Below are 14,080 nucleotides of genomic sequence, written 5' to 3'. Positions count from 1 at the left end.
AACACCAAGCTGAGGCTGGACACAGTGGCTCATGCCTGTAATCCCAGTGCTTTGGGAGTTCAAGGCAGCAGGATCACTTGAGCCCAGGAGTTCGAGACCAGCCTGGCCAACATAGTGAGATTCTGTCTCTACAAAAAAAATAAAAAAAAAAAACTGGGCATGGTGGCATGAACAGGCAGTCTCAGCTGCTACTCAGGAGGCTGATGTGGGAGGATTGCTTGTGCCTAGGAGTTGGAGGTTACAGTGAACTATGATAACGCCACTGCACTCCAGCCTGGGCAACAGAGCAAGACCCCTGTTTCTTTCTTTCTTTCTTCTTCTTTTTTTTTTTTTTTTTTTTTGAGACGGAGTCTTGCTCTGTCGCCCAGGCTGGAGTGCAGTGGCGCAATCTTGGCTCACTGCAAGCTCCACCTCCCAGGTTCATGCCATTCTCCTGCCTCAGCCTCCCGAGTAGCGTGGTGCCTGCCACCACGCCCGGCTAATTTTTTGTATTTTTAGTAGAGACGGGGTTTCACCATGTTAGCCAGGATGGTCTTGATCTCCTGACCTCGTGATCCGCCCGCCTCAGCCTCCCAAAGTGCTGGGATTACAGGTGTGAGCCACCACGCCCGGCCTTTATTTTTTTTTATTTTTTTTATTTTTTGAGACAGAGTCTCGCTCTGTCGGCCAGGCTAGAGTGCAGTGGCATGATCTCGGCTCACTGCAACCTCCGCCTCCCGAGCTCAAGCAATTCTCCTGCCCCAACTTCCCGAGTAGCTGGGATTACAGGCATATGCCACCACGTCTGGCTAATTTTTGTATTTTTTTAGTAGAGACGGGGTTTCACCATGTTGGCCAGGCTGGTCTCGAACTCCTGACCTCAGGTGATCCACCTGCCTCAGCCTCCCAAAGTGCTGGGATTACAGGCATGAGCCACTGCGCCCGGCCGACCCCTGTTTCTTAAAAATAAAAAAGAGGCAGGGTGAGGTCAGGAGTTCAAGACCAGCCTAACCAACATGGAGAAACCCCATCTGTACTAAAAATGCAAAATTAGCTGGGCATGGTGGCACATGCCTGTAATCCCAGTTGCTTGGGAGGCTGAGGCAGAATTGCTTGAACCCGGGAGGGGGAGGTTGCAGTGAGCCGAGATCACACCACTGCACTCCAGCCTGGGCGACAAGAGTGAAACTCCATCTCAAAAAAAATTAAATAAATAAATAATAAAATAGAGCTCAGGTGCGATGGCTCACGCCTATAATCCCAGCATTTTGGGATGCTGAGGCAGGCGGATCACCTGAGATCAGGAGTTTGAGACCAGCCTGGCCAACGTGGTGAAACCCTGTATTAAAAATACAGTACTTAGCCGGGCGTGGTGATGTGCGCCTCTAATCCCAACTACTCAGGAGGCTGCAGTGGGAGAATTGTTTGAACCTGGGAAGCGGAGGTTGCAGTGAGCCAAAATCACGCCATTGCACTCCGGGCTGGGTGACAGAGCAAGACTCCATCTCAAAAAATTATAATAATTAAAAAATAAAAAATAAGAAAGAAACACCAAGCTGAAAGCCAACTAGTATGAGGAAAATGAGTGTGGAAAACAACTAAGAAAAGTCTATAGTATGCATACCTAAGTGAAATTTTGCTCATTTTGTGTTGCCCTGGGTTAAATGTGAACCATATTATAAAAATGTGCCATTCCCTTAGCTTCCTGGATGGCTCAGGAGTTAGTAACTCCCTTGAAGTGAGATCAGTTCTGCTGTATTACGTTCATTTTTAGTTGTGCCTCCTGTGATTTTGTTAACTAGTCTGGGGTTTTGTGTTTTTTTGTTTGTTTGTTTTTGGTTATCTGGTTTTGCCTCCTTTGCCCCTTGTGGTTTGCTTTAGTTTTCTGTGTGTGCACATCTTCTGCTTTTTGAAGAACCTCAATCATTTATCTGTGACTGATTTCAGTATCATAAAGTTAAATTAACATGGGGTAGTTATCTCACTAGTGACTGAGTCCCAAAGTATGAAACCTGTTTAAACACAGCATTTTTTTATTCAACATAAAATGGCAAAACTCCATCCTTGTTGACCACCCCTTTGTATCCCTGTTGCTGTTGGCTGGGCTTTTAGGGTGTCTAAAATTCACATATGGCTTGATTGATTGATGATTGCGTAATTTATTTTGGCTTCCCAATTTGAACATCTGTTCTTTCCCCTTCACCCCTTTCCAGATGTCCCCTAGCTGTGCTGACCTCTGCACTGTGTAGTGTTGTCATCTGGTGGATTGTTTGTGACTACATTCTTCCCATCCTGCTATTCTGTCTCGATGGTTTCAGAACACAGTAGCCATCAGGACCCCCTGACAGATAGCTGCTGTAAGTGTCCCGTTCTGTTTCTCTGCCGTTGCTTACTTCTGGTGCCTAGTGTGGTTCCCACAATGCATGTTTTTCTCCTTGTCAGCTCCTAGCTTTGTTGGTTTGCCTATTTTCAAAGGTTCTTTTTCTGAATCTTTTCAATTAATGGGATGGTGGTGGGGAGGGAAGGTGGGCTTCACTGTTCCTCTCATAGAAAGGATATTGAAAGTAACATACGTTGTTTTAAAGTTATGCTTATCCTTAACATATTTCAAAATAGCAGTTGATAAAGACACTGAAACAGTTTTTCTTCACTGAAACAGTTTTTCTTCCCTATCAAAAGTAGTTAGCTTAGGATAATTGGGGTGGTTTTATTTTCGTCAGTTGGCTATACAATTTCCCTCTAGTTTTCTGTATCTTGAGTATGTCCTTCCCAGTCTAGCAAAGAAGCATTTTTCCCACTGATCTACTTTCATTAAATATGTGATTTTGTAGCCTCGAAATCTGCCATTGTACAGCAGCTCTCTCATAAGTCTTCTCTCTTTAGTGTGCAGAATTTCCTGCTCTGTCTCATTTTCCTCCTCCCCTTTAGGGAATACAGTAAGTACAGTGTGTAGCACTTGATGCTAAATGAAAGTAGGAGGTCGGAGCTGAGGTCGCCTGTTTAAATTGGTGCATTTCCATATGATGGTCATTGTTCCTGCTTTTCTCCTTGCCCAGACATAGCCAGAATGCCTTTAATAGGCTAATAGCAGCAAATCTGTATTCTCTTGAGATCTTTCATCTTTGAAATGAAGACCTTAACAGCGAAGAGGCTTTATTTCTGCAGAAGAATGTACAAGAGGCCCACTTGTGGAACAGCATGTTGAAGACCCCCAGAAGGCGGGTGTGTCCGTGTCACGGGGTCCACCGCCACCCTTCTGTGTCTGAGCTGCGTTCTTCCTTCTCTGAAGCTTTTTCCTTAACTCATATTTTAAGAATTTCTTCTCTTGTCTCCTCTTGGACTTGGAAGTTATGAAAGAATGCAAAAGTTCCTTGCAAGATCTCTTCCAAAGAAAAATTCCATTGCAACCAACTCTGGTACTTTGTGGTTTCACTGAGTATTTTCACATAGCTGAGAAAGATTTAAAAATCAAGCTGATTTCACTCTTCAGAATTAGGCAAAACCTGCTTAACTTGCTCCTATTTATGGCATTTTCTTGAATATCTTACAAATAAAAGCTTATTGTCGCGCATTCAGACCTGCTGTATTTCTGAGATAGATTAACCTTTTGGGTGTTTTCTTCTTTACTTCTCTTAGTCAACTACGATTGCCACATATTCTGACTCAAGAGCATCATGCACTACATAGAGTTATTCTTCTCAAACTGTTCCAAGTGGCAAAGATGTTCTGAATGGGTGGAGCAGTTGCAAATAATGCTTAGGCACTTTGTGGTTGAATGATCATTCCCAGGGTAAGTTTAAACATGGTCTCTATCAGGCTCTCTTCTTTTCAGTATTCCATGTAAACTATACCTTCTGTTGTTATTGGTAATGACGTTTGCCATTGTATTTCTAGACCCAAGCAGAGTATTCAGTTCAGCCTGACTAATTATTTGGAATTTTGAGAAGCAAAAAGCTTGTGACAGTTACAGTGGTGTTAATCAGTATCATCTTTGTAGCACCCCCATGTCTTTCTCTCAAAAGGGTTTTATTTGTAAGGTGGTGACTCCTGAGCTCCACCATCCTCTGTCATCACCACCCACCTCTGCTGGCAGTGGACGCAGGTGGTGTGGCATCGTCTGCTAAGTTGTTTCCAGTGAAAAGCTCCTGTTATGCAGCATGCCTGGAGAATTAGGCCATAACAACACTTCAGGCTTCTGAGTCAGACTCAGAGATAGTGGGAAAGCCTTCTCTGGAGGCTGCAGGGCCTCAGGGTCACCTTTGTGCACGCTCTTGTGGTGTCCGGAGTGGACAGCCAGTATACATAGTGCATAGTTGCCCTGATGGATTTTTTTCTTGGAATTGGACATTTATGTTCGAGACCTGGCTTTTTAGTTTTTGGCTTTGCCGTGTTCCTTGGGTTGCAGATTTCACTATATCTGAAATCTCAGAGTACCGAGGCTCCAAGGATGCTGCAGAGAAGAAGGTGAACTGGAATATAGGCAAGAGGTAGGTAGGATGGAGGATTTTGTCAGGGCAGATGGGAAGGAAGAAAATACATCTGCTGCACACTGCTCTGCAAAGCCATGCTTGGCCTGGGTTGGAAGGCAGAAGGCCGCGAGTGCCCGGGTTCCCTGTGACAGAGGCAACACGTCACCCTCTGGTGCCTGTCAGGTGGTGTGTGCTGTCACTCATGATAGCTCAGTGGAGTTCTCCCCCAACCCCGATTTCATCAGTGCATAACCTGCAGTTAGGATAAATACCGTGTTGTCAGTGCAAATAACTGGAGTCTTCCGTGGTGTGGTTAATACACTCAAGTTCTATCATTCTCTTGGTTTTAAAGTTCCACAGAAATTACTAGCTATTTAATATTATTATTATATTAGTTCACTTTAATTTACACTAATTTTATAGAGAAATAAATACTTTTAAAAAGATGTTTTCCAGCAGCCTGAGAATGACTACAGGATTTAGCAGTAGTGTCTTGTTTTGAATGGCATTTAAACACTTCAGTCATAGTTTTAATTTGAGAAATCAGGATTCAGATTTCCTAAGCAGGCAGTGTATCAGCTCTTGTTTTTTTCTCAGATTAATTATTTTGCAGTGTGATTGTTGTCTGTACTTTTGGCCAACCGTGGCCTCAAATTATTTGAGAATTAGGTGTTGTATTTAAAAAAAAAAAGCCAACAGGAGTCTTGTTTTCTCCGTGCGTAAGGGAGTGGCCGAGGGGAGCGGATGAGAACAGTGGCAGCACGAGTGCCCCGGCCTGGGCTTCAGAAGTAGCAATGAAGCAGCAGCAGTTTGTTTTGTTTTGTTTGGTTTTATGCAAAATTCTATATTCAAATTCTTAGCAGAGATGAATAAATATTTCCCCATCACTTTATATAAACAAATAATTTTTAGGGATGGGCAGACTGGCTCATGCCTATAAATCCCAACACTTTGGAAGGTCGAGGAAAGAGAATCACTGAGGCCAGAATTTTGAGAATAGCCTGGGCAACATAGCGAGACCCCATCTCTATAAAATAAAAAATGAAAAAATTAGCTGGGTGTGGTGGCATGTACCTGTGGTCCCAACTACTCTGGAGGCTGAGGTAGGAGGATCAATTGAGCCCAGGATTTGAGGCTGCTATGATTGCGCCACTGCACTCCAGCCTGGGCAACAGAGTGAGACCCTGTCTCTTAAAAAAAAAAAAAAAAAGAAAAAAAATTTTAAAAACAATTCCTTGTTTTTAGAAGTAGAATTCACAAGCCAGGGTAATAGTTGTCTTTAATCATACAATTAAGATGCATATACACTCTTCTTTTTTTTTTTTATACAAAGTCTCTATCACCTGGCTGGAGATCGGTGACACAAACATGGCTCACTGCAGTCTTGACCTCCCAGGCTCAAGTGATCCTCCTACCTCAACCTCCCAAGTAGCTGGAACCAAGGCACGCCCCACCACGCCCGGCTAATTATTATTATTATTTTATAGAGAGGATGTCTCACTATATTTTAGAATTTGGGCTTCTTAATGGTGTCTTGTTTCATGACTGAAAATCTGAGAAGCTACTTTTACTTTTGGGCATAAAGACTTGTTTGGCTGGTGGATTTCTTTGGTGTGGGAATTGCTTAAAATGTCCAGGCTGGTCTCGAAATTTTGGCCTCAAGTGATCCTCCTGCCTTGGTCTCCCAAAGTGCTGGAATTACAGGCATAAGCCACCGCAACCACCTCCTTTTTCTATTTTGTTAGAACATTCAACATATCAGATGATCACACTCTAGGAGAATTTCTGAACCAAACATTGGCTGATTTATCCAGGATTCATGTCCCTCTGTGAGACAGAAAGCTAGTTTCATGGGGCCCTCAGAAATCCTGCATGAGTAAAGTGAAATAGTGGGGAAAGCTGCCCATCCCCTTCTCCCCAGAAGGCTTGGGACCGCTGGCCCAGACAAGCTCCAGGTTATGCTCTGGTTGCGGAGTCTCGCTCTTTGGCCCAGGCTGGAGTGCAGTGGCACGATCTCGGCTCACTACAACCTCTGCTGCCCAGGTTCAAGCAGTTCTCCTGCCTCAGCCACCTGAGTAGTTGGGATTATAGGCACCTGCCACCACACTCGGCTAATTTTTGTATTTTTAGTAGAGACGGGGTTTCACCATCTTGGCCAGGCTGCTCTTGAACTCCTGACCTCGTGATCCAACCACCTCGGCCTCTCAAAGTGCTAGGATTACAGGTGTGAGCCACCGTGCCCAGCCTCTTGTTGCTTTTTTAGTGATGAGATGTTTAGCATTTTACTAAATGTTGGATATGCTTTGGTTTGGGTCATGCTAAGGTTGTAGAAATTTATTAATCTTAGCCTATTTTAAGGCCCTGTCTTTGGTATATTAGCCAGCATGGTGGTAGCTGAGGCCCGTGAGGTGGGATGCTCACTAATTGTAATGGTTCAACTTTTTACTCCTTTGAGCTGGGTTCTCATAAGTTGTTATTGGCTTTCTCACCTTTATGTTTGAATAGGAGAGAAGAAAGCTTGTTAAGTCAGTATTTTCTCTTTCAGAGAATTAAAAGTTGGTATCTATAAATGTGTGTATATGTGTTTAGTTTGTCATTGATTATCTCTTGAAGAAAAGAATTGCATATAGGCCTGGTGTGGTGGCTCACACCTGTAATCCCAGCACTTTGGGAGTAAGTGAGGTGGGCGAATCACCTGAGATCAGGAGTTCGAGACCAGCTTGGCCAACATGGCAAAGCCTCATCTCTACTAAAAATACAAAAATTAACCAGGTGAGGTGGTGGGCGCCTGCGGTCCCAGCTACTCAGGAGGCTGAGGCAGGAGGATCGCTTGAACCTGGGAGGCAGAGGTTGCAGTGAGTCGAGATCACGCCACTGCACTCCAGCCTGGGCGACAGAGCAAGACTCCATCTCAAAAAAAAAAAAAAAGAATTGCATATAAAATCTTTTGATGTCTTCTGCTGTTTTCCCTATAACAATTTAAAGAGGAAAGAAAAAAAAAAACCAAAGGACCATCTGCCTCTTAAAGGACATTCCGTGTGGCCTTTATCTCAGGATGTTCTTTTCTGATTCATCGTGTGCTTCCTCCTGGGCAGCCTACTCTCATATGCACCAGTTTCTCAAGCTTTTTAGAGTTTAATTAAGGCAAGCTTTACAAAATTTAAGTGTTTTCACTTTCATTTTAGTGGCACTTGGAGATTTAGTAAGTGTTATATATAATTCAGGCAAAACTCATATTTTGCTTAAACACTTTCTAAAATTTTGAAACGTTATATAAAATTAGTATTGATTTAGTGGATTATTACCCATACTTACAGCTTTGAAGAGTGAATATTGTATAGTTATTTCCTAAATTTATGTTCCTATTCTTTAGAATTTGAGCTCTTAATGGTGTCTTGTTTCATGACTGAAAGTCTGAGAAGCTACTTCTACTTTTGTTGGGCACAAAGATTTCTTTAGCTGGTGGATTTCTTTGGTGTGGGAATTGCTTAAAATGCCAAGTCATTCGCCTTCCAGGAGCAAAGCCCTCTGGTTGTCTTTGTGTAACCTTCAAAGAGAAACGAGATGCTTCATTTTAAAAGGCCTTGATGTGAAAATGTGTTTCAGATTTTTTTGGTAAATGTGTTGATGGAAAATCCTCTCAATTCTCAAGATAATTTGCACTAAAGTGCAAAAATACTTTCCTCTGTCAAGTATTTGCAAATGGTTTCAGTGAATATAATCTTATTTTTTTCCAACTATTTTCAGAGTAATTCTTCAATCCAGTGTTCAGAGCTGTAAAACATCTGAACCTAACATTTCTGGCAGTGCAGGCATTACTAAAAGAACCACCAGATCTGCTTCAAGGAAAAGCAGTGTTAAAAGGTGAGAAAAGAATCCTACTCTTCTGAAAAGTTGCAAGCGTTTGTTTTCCAGTTTAATATTTGGACCCTACCTCTGGAGACTGACATGAAATTAGGAGAAAGTAGAGTCTCTGTGATGGGAAATTCATCAAATGTGTATTCCTTGTTCATTATCTAAGAAAATCTGGACCATTTTAATGTAGGCTTTTGTTTTGTTTTTTAGAAGTAATTCTCAACACTGGAAGTATGGTCTCTGGGTCATGATATGGGAAAGTTTTAAGTTAAGAATTTCCAAAGCTGGCTGTCAGGACTTGGAGGACATTTTTCTAGGTGTATATCAGATACAGCATCATTGCTGGACGATTAGCTGCAAATGAATGTGATGGTAGAAATGAGATAACCAGAGAGTTTGAAGATCCTTCTCTACCTAGTGACTCTTTGTCCTCTTGGCCACAGCCCACACCCGAGGCACTAGTTCTTTCACTGTCGTCACTGTCTTCAGTGAGTGTAGGCAGAATTTCACAAGGAAACCAATGTGTTCTGTGGCCACGTCGGTGACTCTGTTGTCTTTGGATATTTCTCATGAAGTGGACATGTCATTTTTAAAGTATTCTGAAAACAGATCCCATCTGAAGAGAGAATAAATAGCCCAGGAGTGGAAGTGGGGATAGATGGCTCAGGAGTAGAAGGGGGCACCTTTTCATCGTTGCCTGGTGTTGGCAGCCCATGCAGTCCTGTTTCTGTCCTCCTGGTAAAAACGATCTCTTCTAATAGACATGAGCGACCTGAAGATAATCAGAACCAGACTTTAAAATGTCCTGCACGTGTACCCTGCTTCTTTTCAGCTTCCCTGCCATGTATATCCGAGGCTTTGGGCCTAGGGGCCTTATCAGTGTGAAATTAGTCCCCAGTGCAAAGCAGCCAGTCTCCCAAGAGACCTTGGCAGAGCTGGGAGTTCTGTGTGCTTTGCCTTTTGAAGACTCATTCAGCTCTGCCATGTCTCCTCTACACTGTTTTGTACAACCTTACTGCACACTTAACACTCGCATGGGGATGCAGCAGTGCCCCGGCATAAGGATTGGAGGACTGTCAGGCACTGACTCATGATTCCAGGATTTAAAATTTTTCATTAGAAATGTACCAAATATTCCTATTTCTTTACTGTTTGATTCTTCTTGAGAAGAATATTAGAGAAATACTGACCAAAGGTCAAAGATTTCGGTACATTGGAACAATAGCGGAGTGTTATTTATAACAGTGAGAAACAGGAAATGGGCTCAAGATTGTTACATTATGCCAAATGAATTGGGAGTCATACATTTAGTTTAGTACACGAAGCAGTAAGTGAAAAGAGCCATGCATAACAATTCTGAAGTATGGGCCGGGTGCGGTGGCTCGCGCCTGTAATCCCAGCACTTTGGGAGGCGGAGGCAGGTGGACCACTTGAGGTCAGGAGTTTGAGACCAGCCTGGCCAACATAGTGAAACCCCGTCTCTACTAAAAATACAAAAATTAGCCAGGTGTGGTGGCAGGCACCTGTGGTCCCAGCTACTCGGGAGGCTGAGGCAGGAGAATCGCTTAAACATGGGAGGCGGAGGTTTCAGTGAGTCATGATCACACCACTGTACTCCAGCCTGGGCGACAGAGTGAGACTCTGTCTCAAAAAAGAAAAAAAAAAAATTCTGAAGTATGACTCTAATTTTGTAAGCGTAAGTATACTATATATGTATAGAAATATAGAGATGTATAAATATTTATATACCTACAATACATCTGTATTTATAGATGAGTAAGTTTCTATATATGCATAGAAATAAGACAGGAAAAATATGCTATGATACTAATAAAAGTTCTGGTTGGTGGGACAGTTGGGATTTTTTTCTTTTTTATCGTCTTATTTTCCAATTTTTCTACAATAAATGAAGGGAAATGGGAGTGTTTTAACTGACACTTTTTGGTGAGCCAAGCTATTAAAAATTCAGGCTGGGCGCGGTGGCTCACGCCTGTAATCCCAGGACTTTGGGAGGCCGAGGCAGGTAGATTATGAGGTCAGGAGTTCAAGACCAGCCTGGCCAAGATGGTGAAACTCTGTCTCTACTAAAAATACAAAAATTAGCTGGGTGCAGTGGCGGGTGCCTGTAATCCCAGCTACTCGGGAGGCTGAGGCTGGAGAATCACTTGAACTTTGGAGGCGGAGGTTGCAGTGAGCTGAGATCGCGCCATTGCACTCTAGCCTGGGCAACAGAGCAAGACTCTGTCTCAAAAAAAAAAAAATCAAATAAAAAGCCTATCGTTGATGACAGTTAATTGTTAATTTTGACATGTCTTGAAGGGGCATATTCTTTTTAGGTATGAGTGCTCAGGCTTTTTTTTTTTTTTTTTTCCTTTGACATGGAGTTGCCCAGGCTGGAGAGCAGTAGTGTTTTCTCGGCTCACTGCAAACTTCGTCTTCCAGGTTCAAACCATTCTCCTGCCTCATCCTCCCGCCTCATCCTCCCAAGTAGCTGGGATTACTACTTGTGGGTGGCATGTGCCACCACACCTGGCTAATTTTTGTATTTTTAGTAGAGACGGGGTTTCACCATTTTGGCCAGGCTGATCTTGAACTCCTGACCTCAAGTGGTCCACCTGCCTCAGCCCCCCAAAGTGCTGGGATTACAGGCGTGAGCCACGGCGCCCGGCCGCTCAGGCTTTTGTTAACAGCGTAGTGTGTCTTGCACATTTAATTCTGCTGTTTGCTTTTTTAGATTATGCTTTTTAGGTTACAGAAGAGTAGAGTCCGGGAGCCTGGCTGGCACTTGCCAGGTCATATCGTCTTCCTGTGAGGAAGGAAGGGCTGGCCTTGCCTCTGTTTTTCTATCTAGGTCTCGTTGCGTTTTCATGTCACTCTAGTAACCTGAACTCCTGCCTCTCTGGAGAAGTGGTTCCTGGTTGCAGCAAGCATCTGCCTCAGGTCCCTGGCAGGGATGCTTTGAGGGTCCTAAGGTAGATTTCAGAGTCAGTAATCTGGACTGAATGTTGAAATGACCCAAAGCAGCTTCCAGGAATTTGGGATAGTTCTGAAAACCAAAAAGACTTCTTTTAAATTCCAAAATGGACTTTCAGAGATGATGTGGAGAGCAAAAGGAGTCTAACAGTGAGGATTAACTGGGACTCACAGTTTATTTCCCCACCTTCCTCTAAGTGGGTTCTTTCTTTGTGCCTCTTTTGGGACTTTGTCCTGTGTTCACATCACCCTACCTGTTATCCACCTACAGCTTACAAAAGAAAGGCAAATTATGTATAGGTTTTAAGAATTGGAGTTAGCCAAGCTGTAGCCTGGAGCTTTTATCCTACTGAATATTATTCATAATATCATACTAAATAGTATTCATTTCTGTTTGGAGGGCAAGAGGGAATTAGTATATTGGTGCACGGTCTGATTCTGGACAAAATAGTATGAGCTAAGATTGTTGAGTAAATTTAAAGTATTGAGTTGAAATCTTTAAACAGCAGTAGAAAAAAAAATAGAGCACCCTTTTGGGGTCCTTTCATCCCTACCTGCAACGTAGCAGGTTTACCAGTTCCTACTGGTTTGTCATCATCTCTGCGGCACATGGGAACTTGACCTTCCATTTTCATGTTCCTTGGCATCCAGGATGAAGACTCCACCCAAACTCGCTTTGCGCTTAATTGGTGCTTTTGATTTTTGGTTTTACTGAGAGGCTCTTCAGCTTTGGGGAACTTTTTCAAAAACGTCAAAAGAGCAATTACTTGGGGCAGCTGAAAAAATAGGAGTGATGTCTTAACTATTTGTCTTTGGGAAAAGGTGCCACTGTTTCTCACAGAAGATGACTATCCCCTCGTGTATCCATTTGAAGCTGTGCCACATCGAAACCTAAATCTCATGTGGCCACAGGTCTGGGACGGCGGCCAGGCAGCCTGTGTGGCCCTCGGTCCTGCCAGGGCTCTGTGTGGCACCTTCTCATTCCCTTCCCTGAGTCTGGAGAGGGAGGTGAGTGGGCTTCTCTACCTCCCACTTCCTGTTAGAGCTATAAATCCATGCTAACCTTTCTCTTTTAAGAATTAATAAATCCAGTGAATAATTGGCTCCGTTGAATCGGCCTGTTTTCAGTGTTCTCACATGACCTCTCTGAAGAGCTCTCTTAGAACAGTCTTGGAAATTTCATCATGCCCCGAGTGAGAGCCTGCAGCCACCTCATTTGCTCGCATTCACTCATGTCTTCACGCAGCCCTTCCGCTGGTGCGTGTTTGTTAGCTTATGCTGTTTCTTTTGGGCAGGCTCTTCTTTTTTTAAAATGATAACTTCATTCATTTTCTAAGAAACTGGCATGTACAAGTTACTTTAATTCTGAGTTGTATCACTAGGAACCATCACTTTCTGCTGCAGCTGCCAAACCAAACCTAAGGTCCGGGGCTCTGGAGTGCTTTGTACCTAATTCTTCATATTGTGGGGGCTGGGGAGAGAAATGCTCAGGTTCTTTCCTTAGCATCTTTTTTTTTTTTTTTTAAATGAGACAGAGTCTCACTCTGTTACCCAGGCTGGAGTGCTGTGGTGCGATCTTGGCTCACTACAACCTCCACCTCCCAGGTTGAAGTGATTCTCCTGCCTCAGCCTCCTGCATAGCTGGGAATACAGGCGTGCATCACCACGCCTGGCTAAAAATTTTCTTCTGTATTTTTAGTAGAGATGAGGTTTCACCATGTTGGCCAGGCTGGTCTTGACTCCTAACCTTAGGTGATCTGCCTGCCTCGGCCTCTCAAAGTGCTGGGATTACAGGTGTGAGCCACGGCGCCCGGCCTCTTTCCTTAGCTTCTAAAACCACGAGTGTTTTCAGGAGCCCTTCAGTTGGGAGCAGCTGCATCTAGGACCTCTAACTTCTTCAGTGTTCTCGGGTGGCTTTGCTGGTGTCACACCTGCCACTGCCTCTTGACCCTCAGAGTCTCAGATCTGGGCACCTGTTCCGTTGCCTCTGGGTGTTAATTTTTGGCTACTGCCATTATCTCCAAAGTCCATCAGGAGAGGAGTCCCAGAAGGTTGTCTCCAAATGTTTCTTTGTAAAATACTGTTTCTCTCCAGTGTTTTAAAATATTAATGATCCTTTGAAATTCCAGATATTTTCCCACTTGTCTCACTAGCTGGTCTGGATCTTTGACTCAGTGCTCTGTTGGGATCTCTGAAAACGAAATGATCGATTCAAACGCTTCTCCTTGAAGAGCGCAGCAGCAGCAGCATCGGGCGAGGAGCCCTCCAGATTGGAAGTGGTTTTTCTGACTCTTATTTTGGTTTTGTTTGCTTTCTGAAAGTTGTTACTGACCTGAAAGTGTAGCGTCGTGAACTGGGGAAGGAGAGAAGAGAGGCAGGATGAGAATCGTGGAGTGCGGAGGCAGGTAGCCCGTGGGGTGCCTCCTGTGCTCGGTGGAGCTGGAAGCCGCTTAGGTGCCAGAGCTTTTTCTGTGACCAAATTCTGGCTTTTGAAATAACCCAGTAACAGTTCTCTATCTTTTCATTCTGCCCGCTCCTCCCACAGCCTGGTCCCTCAGAGGAAAGGAAGGACAAGGAGTGCTTTGCAGCACGTGCCCCTGGCGGCGTCATGGTACTTTCCTGGCCCTGCTGCCCCTGCCCGTCCGTCTTTTATGATTTTTATTTACTCGTATTGGTTTTTTTAAATTTCTATTTTTTGCAGAACTGAGCCTTTTTCTGCCCTGCCTTTCTCCTGTTTGTCTTTCCTTTGTGGTTGATATTGTGTTGTCTTCTCCAAAGTATTTGTCATTAGAAACTTACAGCAA

General features: G+C 43.7%; 1 protein-coding gene across 36 annotated transcripts in view, besides 1 other annotated feature; it reads left to right on the top strand.

Annotated features, from left to right (window-relative positions):
- The window catches only part of CDC14B (cell division cycle 14B), a 128,905-nt gene that overhangs the window by 101,859 nt on the left and 12,966 nt on the right, over positions 1–14,080 (top strand). For 10 of the 36 annotated variants that reach the window (XR_007061366.1, XR_929864.4, XR_929865.4 and 7 more), the window contains one exon: positions 8,196–8,312. The exons of 7 other annotated variants lie outside the window; for them this stretch is intronic. Coding sequence is in view for 24 of the 29 variants with exons in the window: in XM_011519147.4 (XP_011517449.2) it covers positions 8,196–8,312 (117 nt within the window). In the remaining 5 variants the exon portion in view is untranslated. Of the gene's footprint in view, positions 1–2,192; positions 2,337–3,035; positions 3,551–3,615; positions 3,770–8,195; positions 8,313–13,821; positions 13,888–14,080 lie in introns of those variants that run through there. 19 more of the 36 variants (XM_017015242.3, XM_047424001.1, XM_011519156.4 and 16 more) reach the window with 7 other exon arrangements.
- Positions 5,953–6,452: an enhancer, noted in NCBI's record as "H3K4me1 hESC enhancer chr9:99273815-99274314 (GRCh37/hg19 assembly coordinates)". NCBI's record gives its function as "activates a minimal SCP1, AML or CMV promoter by ChIP-STARR-seq in naive H9 embryonic stem cells {active_cell/tissue: H9 hESC(naive)}" and the evidence as "EXISTENCE:reporter gene assay evidence [ECO:0000049][PMID:30033119]".

Source organism: Homo sapiens, chromosome 9, assembly GCF_000001405.40.
Source record: "Homo sapiens chromosome 9, GRCh38.p14 Primary Assembly".
Taxonomy (NCBI): domain Eukaryota; kingdom Metazoa; phylum Chordata; class Mammalia; order Primates; family Hominidae; genus Homo; species Homo sapiens.
The sequence above is the reverse complement of the archived record's forward strand: the minus strand, read 5'-3'. Positions and strand labels throughout refer to the sequence as shown.